At 39.7% G+C, this 21,098-nt stretch overlaps 1 protein-coding gene across 5 annotated transcripts in view; it reads left to right on the top strand.

The window, feature by feature from the left end:
* PLA2G7 (phospholipase A2 group VII) overlaps positions 1-21,098 on the top strand; it is a 31,521-nt gene that overhangs the window by 9,842 nt on the left and 581 nt on the right. For 3 of the 5 annotated variants that reach the window (XM_005249408.5, NM_001168357.2, NM_005084.4), the window contains exons 2-11: positions 2,955-3,097; positions 8,784-8,905; positions 9,352-9,496; positions 11,327-11,420; positions 13,543-13,611; positions 14,261-14,384; positions 15,222-15,335; positions 16,462-16,553; positions 17,719-17,889; positions 20,579-20,727. In XM_005249408.5, coding sequence (XP_005249465.1) covers positions 2,989-3,097; positions 8,784-8,905; positions 9,352-9,496; positions 11,327-11,420; positions 13,543-13,611; positions 14,261-14,384; positions 15,222-15,335; positions 16,462-16,553; positions 17,719-17,889; positions 20,579-20,727 — 1,189 coding nt within the window. In that variant the 5' untranslated portion in view covers positions 2,955-2,988. Of the gene's footprint in view, positions 1-2,954; positions 3,098-8,783; positions 8,906-9,351; positions 9,497-11,326; positions 11,421-13,542; positions 13,612-14,260; positions 14,385-15,221; positions 15,336-16,461; positions 16,554-17,718; positions 17,890-20,578; positions 20,728-21,098 lie in introns of those variants that run through there. The other 2 variants (XM_047419359.1, XM_047419360.1) reach the window with 2 other exon arrangements.

The following is a 21,098-nucleotide window of genomic DNA, read 5'->3' as shown; positions in this document are numbered from 1 at the left end:
ATTTTTCAGTGACCCTTCAGAGGTCCAAGGGGAATGCCACCCGTGGCCCCCTTGGCCCCTTCAGTGTGCATGTATTCGAGCCTAGAAATGCCTCTGGAAAAAAATCTGTTAGCAAGTCATTATTTGCGAAGAGATAACTCAATTTACCTTTTTCTGTTATGTTTGGATTTTTGAAATCATGTATTAACTTTATAATATAATTAAATGTAATACTGAAATAAGATCAAATAAAATCAACCAAAATTATAAATAATCTTAAAGAGTTGCACATATATACCTTTTTTTTCTGATCAAAAGAAAGATGTTGAATAAGGAAATACAGTCCCTCTGCAAGTAGTTTAAGAAGTTTTGGCTGGACACGGCGGCTGATGACTGTAATCCCAGCACTTTGGGAGGCCAAGGTGGGCAGATCATGAGGTCAGGAGATCAAGACCATCCTGGCCAACATGGTGAAACCCCATCTCTACTAAAAATACAAAAATTAGCCGGGCATGGAGGTGGGCACCTATAGTCCCAGCTACTCGAGAGGCTGAGGCAGGAGAATTGCCTGAACCCAGGAGGCAGAGGTTGCAATGAGCCGAGATCACACTACTGCATTCCAGCCTGGGTGACAGAGTAAAACTCTGTCAAAGAAAAAAAAAAATTTAGAGCTCCAGCAACACATTTACCAGCTGCCTATCTGGGTCTTTCTAGCCTGTACAATAGGAGCTGCCCTTACACGAAAGCCCCATCTCTTTGAAATCTTTCTGTCTACATTCCTGTTGCTCTCAGAACTTGTACCATATCATCTAAGAATTATAAAATGCCCCTGTAATTTGCTTTCTTCCTGTATTATATTGTTAATATATGCTAGTCTTGTCTCTGAAACACAATTGTAAACTCTCTGAGAGTAGGGATTGTGTCAAATTCTCTGGTACTTACCACAGTTGTTGCCATAGGAGAGGGCATATAGTATTTGCTTAAGAAATACCCTTTGATTGAATGACTGCAGATCTGATAATCAGGATAGGCCATGCTGTGCTCCATTAAGGCAATAACAGCTTCACCTGGAAATTTCAGTGGCTTAACACAGCAAAGGTTTATTTCCCATTTGTGAAAGGTCATTTGAATTGGCAGGGGCTCTTCTCTGTTCAGTGACTAGGTATCCAGGCGTCTTTCACTTCAAGACTGCACTACATCAGCACATGATTTCTAAGTTTGCTGTGTCAGGGAAAGGAAGGCATGAAGGAGATACAGTGACTCTGTTGCAGACGACTTCTGTTCAAATTTTTGTTTCTCAGGAATTAGCCCCATGGGCCCAGCCCAACCACAGGGGCGGCTAAGAAATGTAGGGAAGCACATAGATGTTCAGGAGCACTCATTGTCTGTGCCACACATCTATATTACATCTTCCCGCAAAATAGCTATACTAACGAGTGCTTCATTAGTGTCAGTGGGACACCGGATCATTAAACTTGGCTCGGTTTGTATTAGTAACCAGATGTGCTAGATTTATTCACTCAGCAGGCATTTACTGAGTGCCTCTGTACACCAGGCACTATTCTAGGTCTTGGGAATACAGCAGGGGGAAAAACCATCAAAAATCCTTACACTCACAGAACTAAGTTTTTAGTGGAAGGTGATAAACAACTAACAAATAACATACAAGGTACGTTAGTTGGTGATAAATATTGGAGAAAAATAAAGTAGGGAGGGAAATAGGGAATGTATTGGTGTGAAGAAGGAGGTTAGATTGCAATTTTAAATAGATTGAACCGGGAAAGTGTCACTGAGAAAGTATCACTGGAGCAAAAACCCGGAGGTGAGAGGACCAGTCATTTGGGTGTCAGAGCAAAGAGCATTCCCATAAAAGGGAACACATTCAAAGCCCTCAAAGTGGGGATGGAAGGTGGGTGTGGAGTACTTGGCATGTTTGGTGAATGGCAAAGAAGCAAGTGTGATTGCAGCAGGTGTCCAAGAGGGGCTAGGGGAAGGATTGGGAGTGTGTTGAGTAAAGGTTATGTAGATCATTATAAGCTATTTTGGGTGAATGGCTTCTCCCCCGTAACATATAACACCATTTGGGGGTTTTGTGCAGAAGGGTGACACAATCACTCTGGCTGCTGTGTTGGGGATAGATTTTAGGGTCAAGGGCAAAAGCAGGGAGACTCGTTAGAGGTGATGGCAAATTTTAGGTAAGAGATGATGGTGGCTTGGACCTTTTCTATCCCCCACAAAAGTTGAAGGGCCAAATTTTAGGGGGGAAAATGGATGCACAAATGCAAGATAGTTTTTGCTAATAAGATGTTAGCATACAGACTAATTATAATTTATTATTACCACACATCTCATATTCTCTTGTTTCATTTACTGATTCAACAAGCATCTATGCAATACTACTTCTTCCAGGCCCTCTATTAGGCACTGAGACAACAAATAAGACCTGACTTCTGCTTTTTGGAAACTTATATCATAGTAGGATTATAGAAATTAGCAAGAATATAACATCATATTAACACCCAAAACAACCACAGCAGCAGAAATATAGTCACTATATAATTAAATGATGGAAATAGCCAAAATTTATGAATTATTTACTATGTGCTAGACATACCTATGGATATTATTATGATGATGACAGATGGTTGTTATATTTGTTATATTTTGTTGGCTATTTTTATAGCTGACCATACTGTTATAAAGTTAGAAAACTAGTGACCAAAAACTTAATCTAACTGTCTGAAAGTATTATTTCTCTGCTCTACAATCCAATGTAATCCTTAGTAATGTAGGTAATGGTAATCCTACATTACCAAGGATTTTACCATTGTAGTACCAATCTAAAACCCAGCACAGAAAATACATGTTTTATTTTTTCCAAGTGTTACTAGTACCTCAGCCTTTCTTGATTTGTCAGCTTATTTAAGGCCTCTTCATTGCATACTTCTTTTTTCTTTTAATCATCTGCTTCGAAGGAGACTAAGCTGAAACTGCTGCTCAGCTCCCAAGATGGTGCCACCCAAATTGCATGTGCTTTTCTGCCTCTGCGGCTGCCTGGCTGTGGTTTATCCTTTTGACTGGCAATACATAAATCCTGTTGCCCATATGAAATCATCAGGTAAGAGGTGTATTTGTTCAAGGTCTTGAGCAACTGATCTGTCGCCATACTTCAAGTGGGCCCCAAGAAGTTGCACATCTGCACATCTAAACAAGTCCTATTTAAAGGCTTATGGAGATCCTGTATTCTCCTGGAGTAGGGGAGAGGTTCTCACTTTTTCCTCATTTCAACTGAAATTGAAGAAGCACTTGTGTTCTTCAGTATCAGGACTGCAGGACAGAACCAGGATGGGACATTTTAAGATATACTGGACGCTCAGCTTGCAATCACCACGGAGAACCTCCTTAATGCCACCCCTTCTCTCTCTGACTGCCCTAACGCATGCCCACACAAGCATAGTAATGCAACTGGTCTGGAGTCCACTCCAAGACAGCCTCAAAACCTGCTTCCATGAGGTGAAAAAGAAGCAGGTGTCTTGTTCAACAGGCATACTCCTGGTTAATAGTGGAAAGTCATGTGAGATAACAATTTCAGGTCTTGGGATCCAAAAGGAAACAATCTTTCCTACCTGATAATAGAGAGAAGTAGGGACAAGTAGGTGCTAGGGAGTTCCAGATGAGAATGGATGTGATCACTCATTCTTTCTTGCCTTGTGGTAAGTGGGGAAAGAAAGAGGTGGAAGGCATAGACTAACCCAGGAGGAGTGGCCAAAACGGGACAGCCATCTTTAGACGGCTACATTTAATGTCACTAAGAGAGACCTTAATTGGAAAAAGATTGTTTCTGGAGCTTTGCAAATTCCTGCTCATCCCAGAGGATTGTGATGCATAAACTTCTCTTTCCAGTCTCCTATGGAGAGCAGTGTAGGTGGCTTCTGAATGGTGTCATACTGACTATACCTACAGAGCTGTGCACCTGGATAGTTGTGGGTCACTCTGGATCTAATTGTTCAAGCTTGATGGGTGACTCCTTACGATAGCATTTGCAAAAGAGCTTTCATAATTCAGTACCTTAAATTTTGCCCTACTACATAAGCAGGAAAATGAATGCATTAGGAGAGGTTTTATATCTTATATCTACATTTGCATAGGAAATAGAATAATATCTCACAGGTCCATTCATCCTATAACGCATCAGGAAGTTAAGTCATCAAGGATACACTGGTGACTAAGACAATAAATGTGTAGTCAAATTCAAGGGTCCTGCATCCTAGATGACATTAAGTTCATTTTTCCTACTACCTTTTTCATGGATTGAGAACAGGTAATATCTTAGATGGTGGGAAAATCATCATTCGGGAAACATTTATATCCTTCACTTTTAATTGGTACAGGGTAAAAATTTAAACATTTTTAAAATCCCTTTGTCTTTAAAAATAATTGGAAGGCTGTTGCTGGACTGACAGAAACTTGAGGACAGGGACGTTGCTTTATCTTTATAGTCCCAGCATTGAGCCCAATGCAATGCCCATTCTAAATGTTCAAAAATGAATGCAGGCCGGGCATGGTGGCTCGTGCCTGTAATCTGAGCACTTTGGGAGGCCGAGGTGGGTGGATCACTTGAGGTCAGGAGTTCGAGACCAGCCTGGCCAACATGGTGAAACCCCGTCTATATTAAAAAAAAAAATACATAAAATTAGCTGGGTGTGGTGGTGCACACCTGTAGTCCTAGCTACTTGGGAGACTGAGGCAGGAGAATTGCTTGAACCCAGAAGAAGGAGGTTGCAGTAAGCTGAGATTGCACCACTGCACTCCAGCCTGGGCTACAGAGCGAGACTCTGTCTCAAAACAAACAAAAAAAGAATGCATATATATTGGTTTAAAGTATTAGAAACAGTTTATTAAATAAGATTAAAATAATAGGTGATTCTTTATAATTTCTTACTAAATGAATACACAGAAAATATGGCTATGCAGGTTAAAAGGTTTGTAGGAATGGGCTAGAGATATCCTCTTTACTAATGGAGGACATAAAGCCATATAAGAGTGTAATTGTCCTAGCATGTATACAGTTCATCTCCAAACCCAAGACTGAACATCAGGAATATTTGACAAATGAAAACCACCAAAAATATGTAATAAAATTAATAGCATGCCATAGGTTCCAATCCTCCTATTAAAATAAAGTTGAAGAAAACTAAGAAGAGACATTTATAAATTCTGAACCACAAAACTGTGTGAGTGGTCATTTGATCTGATGAGTCTCCTCCTTCCACTTCCTTAATGATGACTCCTGACAGATGGTTAGAGAATGGGAAATCCAGGCCCATAACCGGGTCAGCTGTAGGCTATGGAGCCTGTTCCACAGCCACCCCCAGGCACCCTGGCACTGGTGCATAGGACCCCATAGACCTATACCAAAACCTGGATCAGCCTGATGATTCCTGAGGTCTTCTCAGAGGTCAGGTGTCCTGGAACAGGCAGACCTCACCTTGACCTGAATGCTCCTGAATGCTGAGTGAGGAAACTTCCCAGGGAGAACAGGTGTTGGACAACCAGGGCACTCCTAACTTATTGGAAAATGTTCCCCTGTCCTTTGGAATTGAGATCTCACAAGCGGAGGCTTGTGTTGGGTGAAACCCTCCCATGCCTCCAGAACTGAGCCTCCAATTCTAGAGGTAGTGTCTCCAACAGCAGCTGTGGCCCTGGGGCTCCTTAGCGAGTTGTGTGAGCCAGAGGTCTCCCTGCAGCAAGCCCTGCACAGGCACACCATGCCTGCCTAGGGGTGGGGTTGCAGTAGCACCAGGCTGCTTACCACAGAAGAAGAAGCAGGTGTCCCTACCTTAAGGTCCTCCTCCTTGGGACTTCACATCTCCCTGTTACACCAGAAGCATGGCTCAGTAGATACTCTTTTAATGGAAGAAGAGCCTTTTGTAATTCAAAATAGACCCTGAAAGTTCACCTTGCAGGTAAAGTTTAAAAAAAAAGTTTCTGGGGTTTGAATCTACCTGGGGAGAGGTTAGACCTGCTAAAACTTCCCTAAGGACTCAGCACAGATTTACCTAGCAAGAGTAAATGGACTCTGGGGAAGGAGTAAACAGCATTATTTGTCTACCCCTTATGTGTCATGTTTTGTACTAAGAACTTGACCTACATTCTCACCTCATCTTTACAACTGTACTGTGGGCTGGTCAAGTGCTTTTATGTCATTTTACGAATGTGGATCAGAGAGGGGAGCAACTAGGCCAGAGGATTATAGCTTGTAAGAGGTACACCTGAAATCTGAAATAGAACCATGTCCCTCCAATTCACAGGGTTTGTTCATCTCCATCCCCTCTCCCCTTGCCTTTCTTGAAACTACCTCCTACCATTTGACCATGGATTGCTGACCTGTGTGTCAGGCAGGTGGTCTGGAACTTCAGCCCAGTGTCTCTTAAACTTTAATGGGCACTCCTTTTCTGATTGAGTGGAATTGTGGTGAAGTCCAGGAGCCTGCATTTCCAAGCTCCAGCTGGTGCCAGTGATGCTGGTCCATGGATCAGCTTTGAGTAGCTGAGCCTTATGTATTGAAAGGCTTCATCATGGGCAGGTGTTTCACACATGAGTCACCAGTGTGGAGGCTGTAAATTGGTTTCTTCCCATGACTCAAAACTTTTCTGGGCAATGTTCCATGGTATTGATGCAGACGCTTTATCTAACATAGCTCTTGATAGCTGGCTAGCAGAGAGTAATCAACTCCCACCATCCAATGGAAGGAATGGGTGGACAAGCTGAATATGTCAAGAAAAGTGAGAGTCTGAATACACTGATATTTTGTAATTAAATATGGATTTGATTGAGGTTTAGAAAGGAGAACGGATGAAGCTGCTGGTGTGTGGAAGATTGCACCAGAGAGAGAAAAGTAGTTTTAGGAGTGGATGAGTAAAATACTGCATGTGATAAAGGGTTTAAAGGAAAACAAGAGAGACCAGTGGCCATTCAAGTTAACTGAGCTTATTTTCACAAGTATTTGTTGAGCATTGACTATGTGCCAGACACTGTGTTAAGAGGATGCAAAGACATGGATATGGCTCTGAAGAAAGAGCCTAGTGTAGCATGCAGACACATAAGTTTAATATGTGACAGGAAGAATGATTACATGTGTGTATACACACATGCACATAGAATCTATGTAATATTGAGGATGAAATGATTAAGTCTGTCTGGGAAATCAGGGAAGGTTTCAGAGAAGACAGGACATCTGACCAAGGTATTAAAGTGTGAATGGGAGTTTGCTAAGGGGATTTAAGCATAGGCAGTAGCATTTACAAAGGTGCAGTGGCATCAACCAGCCCAGTGTGTTGCTCAGGAGTACTGTAGCACAAGGAAGGGGTATAACTTAAGGGGAAGAAGAAGAGGAAGAGTATGAGGCAATGGGCCTCCAGTGGAGGGTTTCTTTGCAGTGCCCAGAAACTTGGGATTTAACTTGTGCACCTGTGAACCTCAGTATGTTTCAACCCCAGAGCACTGGAAGGATAGGCCACATTTTTGCAAGTAGCAGAGTATTGGCTTAGGAAAGCATGTGTAGATTTAAATTCCTCCTACAAACTGCCTTCCAAAAAGATTACAATACATTCCTCCTTCAAGGAAAGAACACTTGCTGATAGGGAGGCATTGAAGGATTTTAAGAATTGTCTGGTGTGATTTGTGCTTTAAATCCCTCCAGGAGCTGTGTAAAGGATGCATTTGAAGGGGTCAAGATCCAACGTGGGTAGAACAGTTAGGAGAGAGAGCAACAGTCTGGTCAAGAGACAGTGAGGGCATAAATGAGACAGTTGAGCTAGAGGGTCAGCGATATATTGTGGAGATCATTCTAAGCTAAAAACTAATGTTAGCAATAGAGGTTTGGGGCTGGGCGTGGTGGTTCACGCCTGTAAACCCAGCACTTTGGGAGGCTGAGGTGGGCGGATCACGAGGTCAGGAGATCAAGACCATTCTGGCCAACGTGGTGAAACCCCGTCTCTACTAAAAATACAAAAATTAGCTGGGCATGGTGGCACATGCCTACACCTGTAATCCCAGCTACTCAGGAGGCTGAGGCAGGAGAATCACTTGAACCAGGGAGTCGGAGGTTGCAGTGAGCCAAGATTGCACCACTGCACTCCAGCCTGGCAACACGGTGAGACTCTGTCTCAAAAAAAAAAAAAAAGAAAAAGAAAAAAGAAAGAAAATAGAGGCTCCGTTGAATGTAGGGTGGTTGGTGAGAAAGAGGTAGGAGAATAGGATGATTCCCAGGTTTCTGGCTTGTGGTGCAGGAGATGAGGAGTTCTTGAGTTGCAGGCTGTGTGGTTGGAAAGTGAGAAGGGAGAGTTGAAAGATGATCATTTAGTTTCATTTTGGAAACTAGTTTCATTTTGACATTCTTATGGGAAGGACATCAGGTAGAGATGCTCAAGGAGAAGTTATAGGCACAAATCTGAAATGTGAAATAAAGTTCATGTTTAGGAAAAACAGATTTGTGAAGTCATCTTTAATTTACTCTGGATAGAAGTAGAATGAGAGGGCAAGGCTGCAAACATTAGGAGGTAACAGTCCAAGGCAGCTTGAGAGAAAGGCTATGTCTACTTTCATCTCTTTACCCTCCAAAACCCCTACACAGTGTTTCAAACAGAGCAGACCCTCAATAATTGCATATCTTACTTGTTAGGTTGAGAAAGAAAGAAGGCCAGAAACTATGGGAAGTAACTTGATTCCGTTGGAATTCTTTTGCATAATAAAATCTGATATGTAATGGATGACAAATGAGATAATATTTACCTGTTTTTCAGCATGGGTCAACAAAATACAAGTACTGATGGCTGCTGCAAGCTTTGGCCAAACTAAAATCCCCCGGGGAAATGGGCCTTATTCCGTTGGTTGTACAGACTTAATGTTTGATCACACTAATAAGGTAATGCTTTGATTTATACAACTTATCCTGATACTCTAATATTGTCTGTCGCTATGGACCACTAGAAGGTGTTCAAATGTGACCTTGCCCTCACCTGAGAATGACTCATTTTGCAATTTGTATTGTTTCATATGAAGGCTTTTACTAGTTTGGCCATTCCTCAATTCTTTGTTATTGTCTGATTAATTTCTCTATAAACCTTATTTTTCACTTCCTTAATACCTGAAGCCAGGCTGCTTGTATTTTCCTTTCACTGAGATAGAATATTGTTTTTCTGTTTCTCTTTCATGACTATCTTCAATCACCACAGCAGCCTAAAAAGTTCTTTAGACCTTTTTGTGAACACAGAGGTATTTGAGTCCCCACTAATTAAATATGCAAAATAGCTGCTGGAATATGTTTGAGACACAACTTCTCTAAAAGTGCATTAATTTCTTTCTTAACAGGGCACCTTCTTGCGTTTATATTATCCATCCCAAGATAATGATCGCCTTGACACCCTTTGGATCCCAAATAAAGAATATTTTTGGGGTCTTAGCAAATTTCTTGGAACACACTGGCTTATGGGCAACATTTTGAGGTTACTCTTTGGTAAGATTTCTGTTGATCCTTCTTTGTAGGCTCTTGCATGTATGAAAACCTTGAAAACAACAAGAACTTCAAGTAGTTAAGACCAAAGTAGATTTTTCTTCAGTCCAAATAGCTCCTAAAATGATAAGGAAAGTATTTCTTTAAAGCCCAGGCAACTACGACAGAATCAAGGTTCTCATTTTGTCCATTCTGAGTTGGATGGGAGTGGCCGAGAGTATCAGACTGACTCTGACATCTTTCTGTGGCTGCTCTTTAGTTTTCATCTGACATACCATGGAGAAGGCAATACCGTGGTGAGAATAGCAGGTTATTTGGTGTGGCCACTATCCCGCATGCTCTGTGCTAAAGTTAGACAAAAAGAGAAAGAAAGTAGAAGCCATCAAACTCTCCAGATCCAAAACAAAGGAGTCAAAGCTAATGCCTTTCTTGTCATACATGAAGAGACTCTACTCTCATTCCCATCACCTACCCCCATCGCTAAGACAATCTGATGTGTATTCTTCACTTACTGTCTACATTCTGCTAATATAGACTTTTCCTTCCTTATCTGTTTGACTAGACACTACTGTTGGACTGATGTTAACTGTGTCTTCACATTTACCCCTCAAAACGATCTACAAATTTTGGGATTCATCTTAAACATCGGCTTTTAATTTTCTTAAAAACCACTTATAACAGACATGAAAATAGCATAACTCTGCATATTTATGTTGCAAAATAATTTATAAATCACTTCCATAGCAATCATCACATTCAGTCTTTATGACTGCATCTGCATTTTATAGATGAGAAAATGAAACACAAATGATTGCTGATAATAATGGTGACAATAAAAATTGAGAAGTGAAAGAAGACAATATTTCCATTTTTTGAGCCCCTTACTATGTGATGGATTGCACCACTGCTTTACATATATTACCTAATTAAATAAAATTCTCACAAAAACCCTATGAAAGAGATATCATTTTCTGAAGTTTACAGAAGAGGAATCTGAAGTACAGAAAGTTTAAGGAACTTGCCCAAGATCCATAGTTAGGAAGTGGCAGAGCTGCATCCATGACTCAGTATGAAGTCAGTGGTTTCTCTACCTTTTCCTGCATGATTATGACCAAATCATAATGAACAGAGTCTCTGTTTCTTAGATTCTGGCTCTTAGTGTAATGTATCCAAGGTTTTATGGGTAGTTTGGTTTCAGAACATTCCCTTTAAAATTTTTCCAAAACCTGGGAATGGCAGTAAGTAGCAGCCTTTATGAATACACCTATAAGTGGGAAAATCTCTCACCTTAAGTCCAGAGCTGTCAGTAAGAACTCATCGTTAATGATCCTATGGTCTGAGGAAAGAACTTACGCCGGGTGCGGTGGCTCACGCCTGTAATCCCAGCACTTTGGGAGGCTGAGGCAGGTGGATCACCTGAGGTCGGGAGTTCACGACCAGCCTGACCAACATGGAGAAACCCCATCTCTACTAAAAATATAAAATTAGCCAGGCGTGGTGGCGCATGCTTGTAATCTCAGCTAATCGGGAGGCTGAGGCAGGAGAATCGCTTGAACCCGGGAGGCAGAGTTTGCAGTGAGCCGAGATTGTGCCATTGCACTCCAGCCTGGGCAACAAGAGCAAAACTCCATCTCAAAAAAAAAAAAAAAACTTACAGTTCAGCTCTTTGGTTGGTGGGTATCTAGTAGCAGTCTTTTTAATGAATCTACTATTCATCCATAAAAAAGTAGATATAAATCAGATGGGTCTGCATTTTATGCTAATGAGATATGAATTAAATTCACTAGCAACACTCAGAGAAAACCTTAACTATAACCTTCCATTGTTGTCTAGGTTCAATGACAACTCCTGCAAACTGGAATTCCCCTCTGAGGCCTGGTGAAAAATATCCACTTGTTGTTTTTTCTCATGGTCTTGGGGCATTCAGGTAATGTTTGAGAGGTTGAACAATTTTGGCTTCCAGGAATAAATGACAATTTTTTTATTCAAGAAAGAAATAGCAGAGTTTGGAATGTCATGCAGGCCCTTGTCTGGAGGAGTTGGGTTTCCTCAATAATTGGCTGTGGGTCTATTGATCAGTCCTAGACCTGTCTGGTCAAGTAGTTTTTTCCCTACTATCAGCTCATTGGGATTAGCCTCACAGCAGAGAAGAAAGGGTGTTGCATTTTCTATAGTTGTCCTTCATTATTGTAATATTTACACTCTTAAAATTATCCTCTGTAAAGTTTAGAACTTTTGAGAAACCAATTTTAGATTAGCTGGGAAAGACTGTTATTAAGAGAAATATCTGTGAAGGCAAGAGAAGGAGCAGGAAAAGATGGGGAGAACCTTTGGACCATGACACAGGTTGGACACCTGAAAAGGTGATGGGGAAGGGAGAAGGATTGGATAAGAAGAGCTTCAGAATGAAGCATGGTTCTAAGAAATATTGAGCCAGGCCAATGGAAGGAGTGCTGGACTATATTTGCTTATCAAGAGTCCTGTATCTCATAGGAATGGGCTAATGTTAGTACCCATGCTGTGCCAAGTCTCTGGGAGCAGCTCACTGGATGCTTAGCTTCCACTTGACCATGGTGATGGATACAGAGGGGCAGGAGCTGGATAGGGTCTTTAGTAAGCTATGCAGTCTGTAGCATGATAGCTGAGTGGCACATTTTCATAACAACAACCACCCTCTTCACTTTCTTCCACCACTTTCTCACCTGTCACCCCTCTTCTACTTCAAGGGATTGTAAAACTCAGAAAATAAGAGAGATGGCTTTTAGCTGGGAAGAAGTTGGGTAGCACTTGCAATAAAGAATTCTCTTCAGCACTGTAAATGTAGTTCAGCTAGCTATTTGATTTCTCCTACATTAGTGACTGGCAAATTAGAACCCAAGGGCCAAATCCAGCCCACTGCCTATTTCTATAAAGTTTTATTAGAACACAGCCACACCCATTCATTTTTGTACACTGTCTATGGCTACTTTTGTCCTACAACAGCAGAGTTCAGTAGTGGTGACAAAGACTATGGCCCACAAACCTGGAAATATTTACTCTCTGGCCTTCAACAGAAAAAGTTTGCTAATCCCTGTGCTATATCATTCCCCCCTCTTGAAAAGGTCCTGTATCTTCAGCAATAAATAAATAGTTTCTAGCTACCTCCTTTTTATTCTCTGTGGACATTTCCTATTGAATGCATGGTATGAGGAAAAGGTTGTGCAAATGAAGCTGTGGAAGAGGGCATAAATGCAGTGCTTAGCACATGATTTTTCAACTATTTCACCCAGTCCAATCATTTAAATAATAGCTAACATGTGTTAAGTATTTACCTGTTTCTAATATAAGTACTGAAAATGTATTAATTCAATTGATCCTCACTGATGAGGTAGCATACTATTATAGTGTCACCATTTTATAGATAAGGAACCAAGGCAGCAAAAATATTGTGACTTATTAAAGGTACACAGCTAACAAGTGGTAGAACCAGGGTTCAAACTCAGTGGTCAGACTGCAGGTCTCATTCTTGTAACTACAATACTGTACTGCTTTCCTATATACATTATCTTAGCAAAACCTTACAACTACCCTAAAACAAATGCTTTACTCTTAGGCCCATTTTACAGGTGAGGACAAAAATGCAGTAATTACCTAAAATCATATAGCTGGGAAGTGGCAGAGCCAAGATTAAAAACCCAAAACTCTCAAAGGCAATATTTATAATCACTGCCCTGGGTTTTCTCAACTTTAGTAGTCTTGACATTTTGGACCAGATAATCTCTTGTTGTGAAGGGTTGCCCTGTGCATTGTAGGATGCTTGACAGCATCCCTTTACCCACTAGACACCAGAAATACCCTCGCCCACATTCATGATAATGAAAATACCTCCAGACATTGTCAAATATCCCCTAAGGAACAAAATCACCCTCCTTTAAGAACCGTAGCTCTCCACTCCACCCCAGGGCACTACTACAGGGGTGTAATGGCCTCCATGTTCCCAGTTTTATTAGTGGACTCAGCCTTGTAATCATGACTGGTAGTTGTAATTCTTCCCTCTTTTTGTTTTGAAGGACACTTTATTCTGCTATTGGCATTGACCTGGCATCTCATGGGTTTATAGTTGCTGCTGTAGAACACAGGTATGTTACCTGATATAATTGGGCTCTTTGGCCAACTACAGGGAATGTCAATGCTCATAACTATGTTTCTAATTTTCATAAAAGTTTATTTAAAATGTTGATGGAACTTTCAAGTATGGTAACATCATGAGCAAAAAAGGAGATTGAGTTTATCGACTTAAAAGACTTAAAAGCACCTAACATTTCTAGAGTGTTTATTGCCTGCCATGTCCTATGCGAAATGTTTTTAATACGCCATTTCATTCAGTCTTCATAACAATCCTATGAGATGGTTATTATTATTATTGTTGTTGTTTTAAGGAAGAGGAATATAGAGGTGATAAAGGGTAATTTGCCCAAAGTCACACAACTAGTAAGTGGCAGTGCCGGGATTTGATTCCTGAGACTGAGTTTCAACATGGCTAACATTGCCTCCCAGAATTAGGAAGATAGAATGGATTGAGTTTACCTGCAACTTGATGATAGACAATAAGGTTTTTTTCCTGGAACTCTTTTACAGTCTTCTTTAATTTAAGAGAAAATATAGAGTGGAAGAAGAAAGGGAAGTCAAAAGATCAGAGGAAGTTGAGTCAAGGATGGAACTGAGAAACATGGGTCAGATGAGGAAGGGAAGGAGCATGCATAAATAATAATTTTGCTTGTATTATAGAGATAGATCTGCATCTGCAACTTACTATTTCAAGGACCAATCTGCTGCAGAAATAGGGGACAAGTCTTGGCTCTACCTTAGAACCCTGAAACAAGAGGAGGAGACACATATACGAAATGAGCAGGTACATTGCAGTGAAAGGAGAGGTGGTTGGTGACCTAAAAGCATGTACAAAAGGATGACATTTGTTAATTTAATTTTACACCTGGCAAGTTATGCTCCTAGCTCTCCTATTTCCCATTCCCAAAAGATCTGTCAATAGATTCCTGGAGCAGTAAAATTCCCTTAATGGAATATCTAGTTCATAGTAAAAACAAAGGCAAATACAAAAATTTGGGAGATGACAGTGAATATTCAGAATTCCCTTGAATTAAAACTTCTAATTTTAGAATCTAAAAAGTGCTAGAAAATAAATTAATAGATTCTTCCTCACAGACAATATAAAAAGACTACTTTTCAGAGAGGCAGTATACAATAGAATTAAGAGTATGGGCCTTAGAACCCAACTTTCTATGTTTGAATCCTGGCTCCACCACTTAATTTTGTTATAGAATAATGAATAGAAACATTATTTGTCTTACAGAGCTATTAGGGCAGTTAAGTTAAGTGAAGCATATTGGCTTCCTCTTTATAGTGGGTGTTTTACATGTGTTATTATGTTTGAGTCCACCCACATTTCCTTTAGGTAGGAATTATTATACAATCAATGGAAACTCAGAGAGGTTAAGTAAATCGTCTGAAGTCACATAGTAGGTAAGCAACAGAGCCAGGATTTGGACTAAGCTATACCTATGTGCAAAGCTGGGGCCTGTGTCATTATGGTAGCAAGTAATAGTCACTAATCAGATTTCCAGTTTATAACTGACCAACGATTTTTCCCAAATACAGCTTCTACCTAAACTTTAAAATAAGTGTTATAACTTTTTACTTTGTCATTTCCTTCTTCTAATAATTATATTAGGTACGGCAAAGAGCAAAAGAATGTTCCCAAGCTCTCAGTCTGATTCTTGACATTGATCATGGAAAGCCAGTGAAGAATGCATTAGATTTAAAGTTTGATATGGAACAACTGAAGGTAAGCTATAAAAAGTAATTTTTCTCTTGTCCTACAGTTCTTTATTGTTTTTTGTCATTTAATTTTCTGCTATATTGCAAGGTACAATATGATAAAGGGCTGCAACCAGCCCCCTCCCCAATGCGCACACACAGACACACAAAGCAGTACAGGTAAAGTATTGCAGCAATGAAGAATGCATTATCTTGGACTAGATATGAAATTGCCAAAAGTTAGTCAGTTTTGATCTACAAAAACAGCAATGTCATATGGTTCAACTCAACTCCTGTGGAAGTATTATTATTTCATGGACAGCTCCTGCATGTTTTTAAGCTTGATCTTGAAAACTTGACACAAGTTTGGGAGCGGGTGGAAAAATATCAGACAGAGTGGGCAGCATGAACAAAGACTCAAAAGTGTGTGTGGCATGTGAAGTGCAGGGATTAGGGGGAACTAGAGAATAAGATGATGGTCTGTTCTCCAGATACAATGAAGAAATTTGTTATCCCTCAAGCAGCCACTCTCTTCTGTATCCTTGCCTTTGTACATGTTGTCCCCTTGGCCTGACACACCCTTCCCCTTGCCTAACTCCTACCTAATTTCAAGACTCCAGTTGAGCATCACCTCCTCTAAGAAGCTTTCTTGGACCCCAATACCCACTTCTGGACTGGGCTCGCTGTCTGTCATGTGTGCTCCTTTGTACCACTGTACTGTATTGCATCATGCCTCTGTATAACTTTCTTCCCTGATGGACTGCAAACTCACTGAAATGAGACTGCAGTACCTGGCACAGAGTAGGTACTCAATAAATACTCATGGAATGAACAAACAAATAAACATGGGGTGAGGAGAGGCAGAAGTCAGAACTGATGTTGAAGTTTCCAGTGTGGGTGACTACAAAGAACATTAAGTTTACTTTCAAACCTTTACATATGTTATATATATGTGTAAATGTGTTTTATATGTGTATATAGATGTATATGTGTGTATGGTATGTATAAATGTATGTGTGTATATGTATATTCTATTTTATAAGAAATCAATGTATTTAACCATCCCCATGAAATGAACAATTATATGATTGACAAAATCATTTCTTCTAACACCACGAAATAGCTATAAATTTATATCATGCTTTTTCAAATAGGACTCTATTGATAGGGAAAAAATAGCAGTAATTGGACATTCTTTTGGTGGAGCAACGGTTATTCAGACTCTTAGTGAAGATCAGAGATTCAGGTAAGAAAATAAGATAGTAAAGCAAGAGAATAGTAAATTATTGGAAGAAATTATATTGTGAGATATAATTTTTTATTCAAATTCTTAGTGAAGAAGGGATCTCTTGGAGTTTATAAGGCTATTCTTTTGCCCCCATAAAATACTCTATATACATTTTCCTAGGCTAAAACATCTACCTCTCCTGCTATTAAAATCTCCCCCTACTCCCATAAGTTTTCCCTCATTATTCTTGTTTACCCAAGGGGTTAACACTTTTCACTGAAAAATTTATCTTTATATAATTTTTTGTGACATAATGATTGTGATAATAATATTGTCATCTTAACAGTATTGCCAGACTTCTCCAGTGGGCAGGACATTTTTTAATTAGGTTTTTCCCCCTTCCACCTTTAAGATGGAGCTGGATCTAAAATTACAATTATTTGGGTAAGAGTTGGGACAAGACCCCAGTTTTCTAGCTTGCAGGAACATTTTCTTTCTTAAACCTTCATTCCAGACTGATGAGATCACATAGAACCAACCGTACAGAGAGTGGGCAGGATCATTTTTGAAACTTCACCTCAAATTTCTTAAAAGTCCATTTCAGTGTAAGAATTCTCTTCTTTGATCCATTTACCAAAAGATCAGGAAACATAGGATAAACTTACTTTTAAAAAGGAAGTTAGTTTCATCTTCAAATGATATGCTCCATATGTTTTTCTTCAACCCTCAGACAGTTTTTCAGCTGAAGTGCCTCTAAATATAAAGTAATGGGCCCAATTGTTACTCTAATAAAGCTATAATAAATACACTACAAGGTGCATAAAAGCTCTGAAAACAAAGGTGTATTTATTATACTTTTTCAGATACTCCACAGTGTTGAAGAAATTATTATGTATTCTAAAATTTATTTTGAATAAAAAGTTTTAAGGATATATCACTCAAATGGTTGCAATTCCTAAAGGCATATAAAGAAAATGATTATATAAAATTCCAGGTCTGCTACTTTACAAAGTTAATCATATCCCTTTCCCACATTGAAGTATGATACCTCTTTATTCCAATGAGATAACCCATAATAAACTGGTATGGTGCGTGTCCACCAATCCTAGCATTATTAGGATGTCCTCAATGTTGGCTAGTATGTAACCAGTTTAATTTCATCATTGTCAACAAATATCTACAGATGTGGTATTGCCCTGGATGCATGGATGTTTCCACTGGGTGATGAAGTATATTCCAGAATTCCTCAGCCCCTCTTTTTTATCAACTCTGAATATTTCCAATATCCTGCTAATATCATAAAAATGAAAAAATGCTACTCACCTGATAAAGAAAGAAAGATGATTACAATCAGGTAAGTATTAGTGACTTATTTCATTATGTGAAACAAACTTGAAGCTTGGGTAAATATCAATCGATATCATTTGGTAACTATTAAAGAATTGCTGAATTGGTTGTTTAGACTTTCAATAAGGAGAGAATTAGATAATCTCAGTTTCTAAGTACATTTAGTCTTACTCTTTTTAAAATGGGAATGTTAACGTATATAGTATATATACTGGTTATATTAGTCTGTTCTTGCATTGCTATATGGAAATACCTGAGACTGGGTAATTTATAAAGAAAAGAGGTTTCATTGGCTCACAGTTCTGCAGCCTGTACAGGAAGCATGATGCTGGCATCTGCTCGGCTTCTGGGGAGGCCTCAGGAAACTTACAATTATGGTGGAAGGCAACCGGGGCATGAGCACTTCACATGGCCAGAGCCGGAGGAAGAGAGGGATGGGTGAAGGTACTACACACTTTTAAATAACCAGGTCTCACAAGAATTCACTGTCACAATGACAGCACCAAGGGGGATGGTGTGAAACCATGAGAAACTGCTCCCATGATCCAATCACCTCCCACCAGTCCCTGCCTCTGACACTGGGGATTCCAATTTGACATGTGATTTGGTGGGGACACAGATCCAAACTATATCACTGGTAATTAAAATTAGCATTATACTACATGCTACTTCAATCTAAACACCAGAATATGCCTACAGATTTTTGGGGGTAGAGCTAGGGGGAAGTATTCCATCATTAGGCTGGGGTAGGAACTCTTTAAAGAAAAAGTCAGATTATCGACTGAGACCTGCAATATACTAACCTGTTGAGAAAGAATATGAGTTTATAAATTCCCCAAAGCTATAATGGGGTACCATGACGTGTTGGCAATTCTTGTATCCTGGAGGTGAAAAAGAACTCCTGATAAGGTTTTGAACTCTCGATGAGATATTACAAAGCAAAGATGGACCTGAACTCACCCCTTTCCTATCTGAAATCTGGTTTATTTAGGAGAAGAGAAGAGGCAGGAAGGAAATATATGGAGTATAGGCAATAAACACTATGGGCTCAGAGAATAGAGGGGTCTCTTCCAACAGAAAAGGATTCATAGATGACACTAAAATTGGATTTTGTAAGATCAAGAGAGTTTAGATAGTAAGGAAGGGTTTAGGTATTTCAGGCAAGGACTTCATTTAGCTTATGTGTATGTGCAACTCTTTCTAATTCTAAAACGGAAATAATACAGAACACCTAACCTTCCCTCAACCCTATTTCCTTACTAAGCTCTCACCTTTGCTTTTGTCCCTTCTCTGCTAGAAACCTTCAAAGAATAGCCAATATTAGTCATTGCATGTGCTTACTTCTATTCACTCTTTGACTCTTGTGGTCTAGCTTCCTGGGCCCCCACGGGCATGCCAAAACAAAGACACTAAAGGCCTGCTGCCTGCCACACCAGCAGCCTCTTCAGAGTCTCAACCTTGCTCTCTGCATCTGTTCAACATTGCTGACCACCCCTCTTCCTGCTCCCTTGGCTACTATGACCCACCTCTTTGCTGCTTCTCCTGTCATTTATACCACTCCTTCCATTTCTTCTCCTCTGGCAGTTCTCTACAGTCAGATCATCCAAGCTTCTGCTCGCAATTCTCTTGTATTCCTGCTGTTTATCTTCTTTATGTTTCTGACATTCAAGTTTCCTACTACAATGTGGGGAAGAGTGAGAGGGAGTTAAGTGGCCCTGTTTTGAGCTTAGATGACTAAAAGAATGATGGGTTGCTTATAAGAACCAGCAGAGTCAAGAGGCAGAGCAGCTTTGGGCAGGACTGGGAAGATGTCTTTTAACTTCACAATTTCTTAGCTTGAGAACTGAGGAATCTGTACACAGATGTCTGGCCACACATTGGATGATTACATAATTTACATGATAACACAGATGAAACATTTGAAGTAGAAGAGATTGCAAAGTGAGAAAAGAGTTGGTCTGCCAGTAGAATCCTAAGGAATGCCTACATTCAGCCAATGGGAAATGGGTGAAGAGCCAGTGAAGAACATAGAGTGGTTAGCGTCAGAAGGGAAGGTGCAATGTTAAGGAAACGTAAAGAAAAAAAGTGCAAGAAGGCCATCAAGTGTCAAATGTCCCAGTGGTGGTAGAAAACGAGGACTTAAAAAAGGCCATTCTATTTGACGTTAGGCTATTGATGAATTTACAGAGCAGTGCAAATGATATTTATAAAGTGCTTACAGTTTAATACTGGGAAAAGTGGTGTTTGAAATCTGTTTCCTCTAAGGCTTAAATCTAAAGTGATTTAAATTTAAAGTGACTAGCATCAAATACATACCACGTTCAGTGGTGAGGGCAGGTAGCAGGCTCTGGCTCTGAGTTCAGGGACCCTTCAATACAGAACACATTCCAGTATTCAAACTGGAAGTATTCCAATTCACTAAAAAGCAAGAATCATTTCTTCTAAAATCAAGATACCAAGCAAGAACAAGATTCTTTGAGTTGTATTTCTAGAGGGAAGAAGAATATACTCTGGGATCCCTAAACAAACAGCCTGTGACCCTTGAAACACATCTAAGTAGATCAAATTACAAGTTTTATTTCTTCTTTGGTTTTCAGTAAACAGACCAACAAGACCAGTACCTTTCTTACACTCTAACTAAAAAAATAATAATTTTATCAAACAATGTGACTTTTAAATGTCTTGTTCTCTTTTAGGGGTTCAGTCCACCAGAATTTTGCTGACTTCACTTTTGCAACTGGCAAAATAATTGGACACATGCTCAAATTAAAGGGAGACATAGATTCAAATGTAGCTATTGATCTTAGCAACAAAGCTTCATTAGCATTCTTACAAAAGCATTTAGGTAAGAAACTATTTTTTTCATGACCTAAACCAGATGAATCTCAGGACAAAGCTGTCTATCTTAATACAGCTTTAGTACTATTTAAACTATTTCCAGTTGGTTTACAATGGAACAAAGCAGTATATCAATTTGAAAACAGAAATTTGAGAAAGTCAATTTTGCTGCTTTACATCCTCTATATCATAGAAAGCAAATCCAACTGTTAAAGGTAATATTCTTTGTATGAAGCCTAGAGTGGACTTCCATGTTGAGGATACTGACAGCAGGTTGCCTCACTCCTATCCCGTTTGCATTCAGCTGCTAAAGCAGCCATGAGGCAGCTGATACAGAGCACATCGTCTCTACCATCCTAACGGAACTTGTGTAATTTG

This window comes from Homo sapiens, chromosome 6 (genome assembly GCF_000001405.40).
Source record: "Homo sapiens chromosome 6, GRCh38.p14 Primary Assembly".
Taxonomy (NCBI): Eukaryota; Metazoa; Chordata; class Mammalia; order Primates; family Hominidae; genus Homo; species Homo sapiens.
The sequence above is the reverse complement of the archived record's forward strand: the minus strand, read 5'-3'. Positions and strand labels throughout refer to the sequence as shown.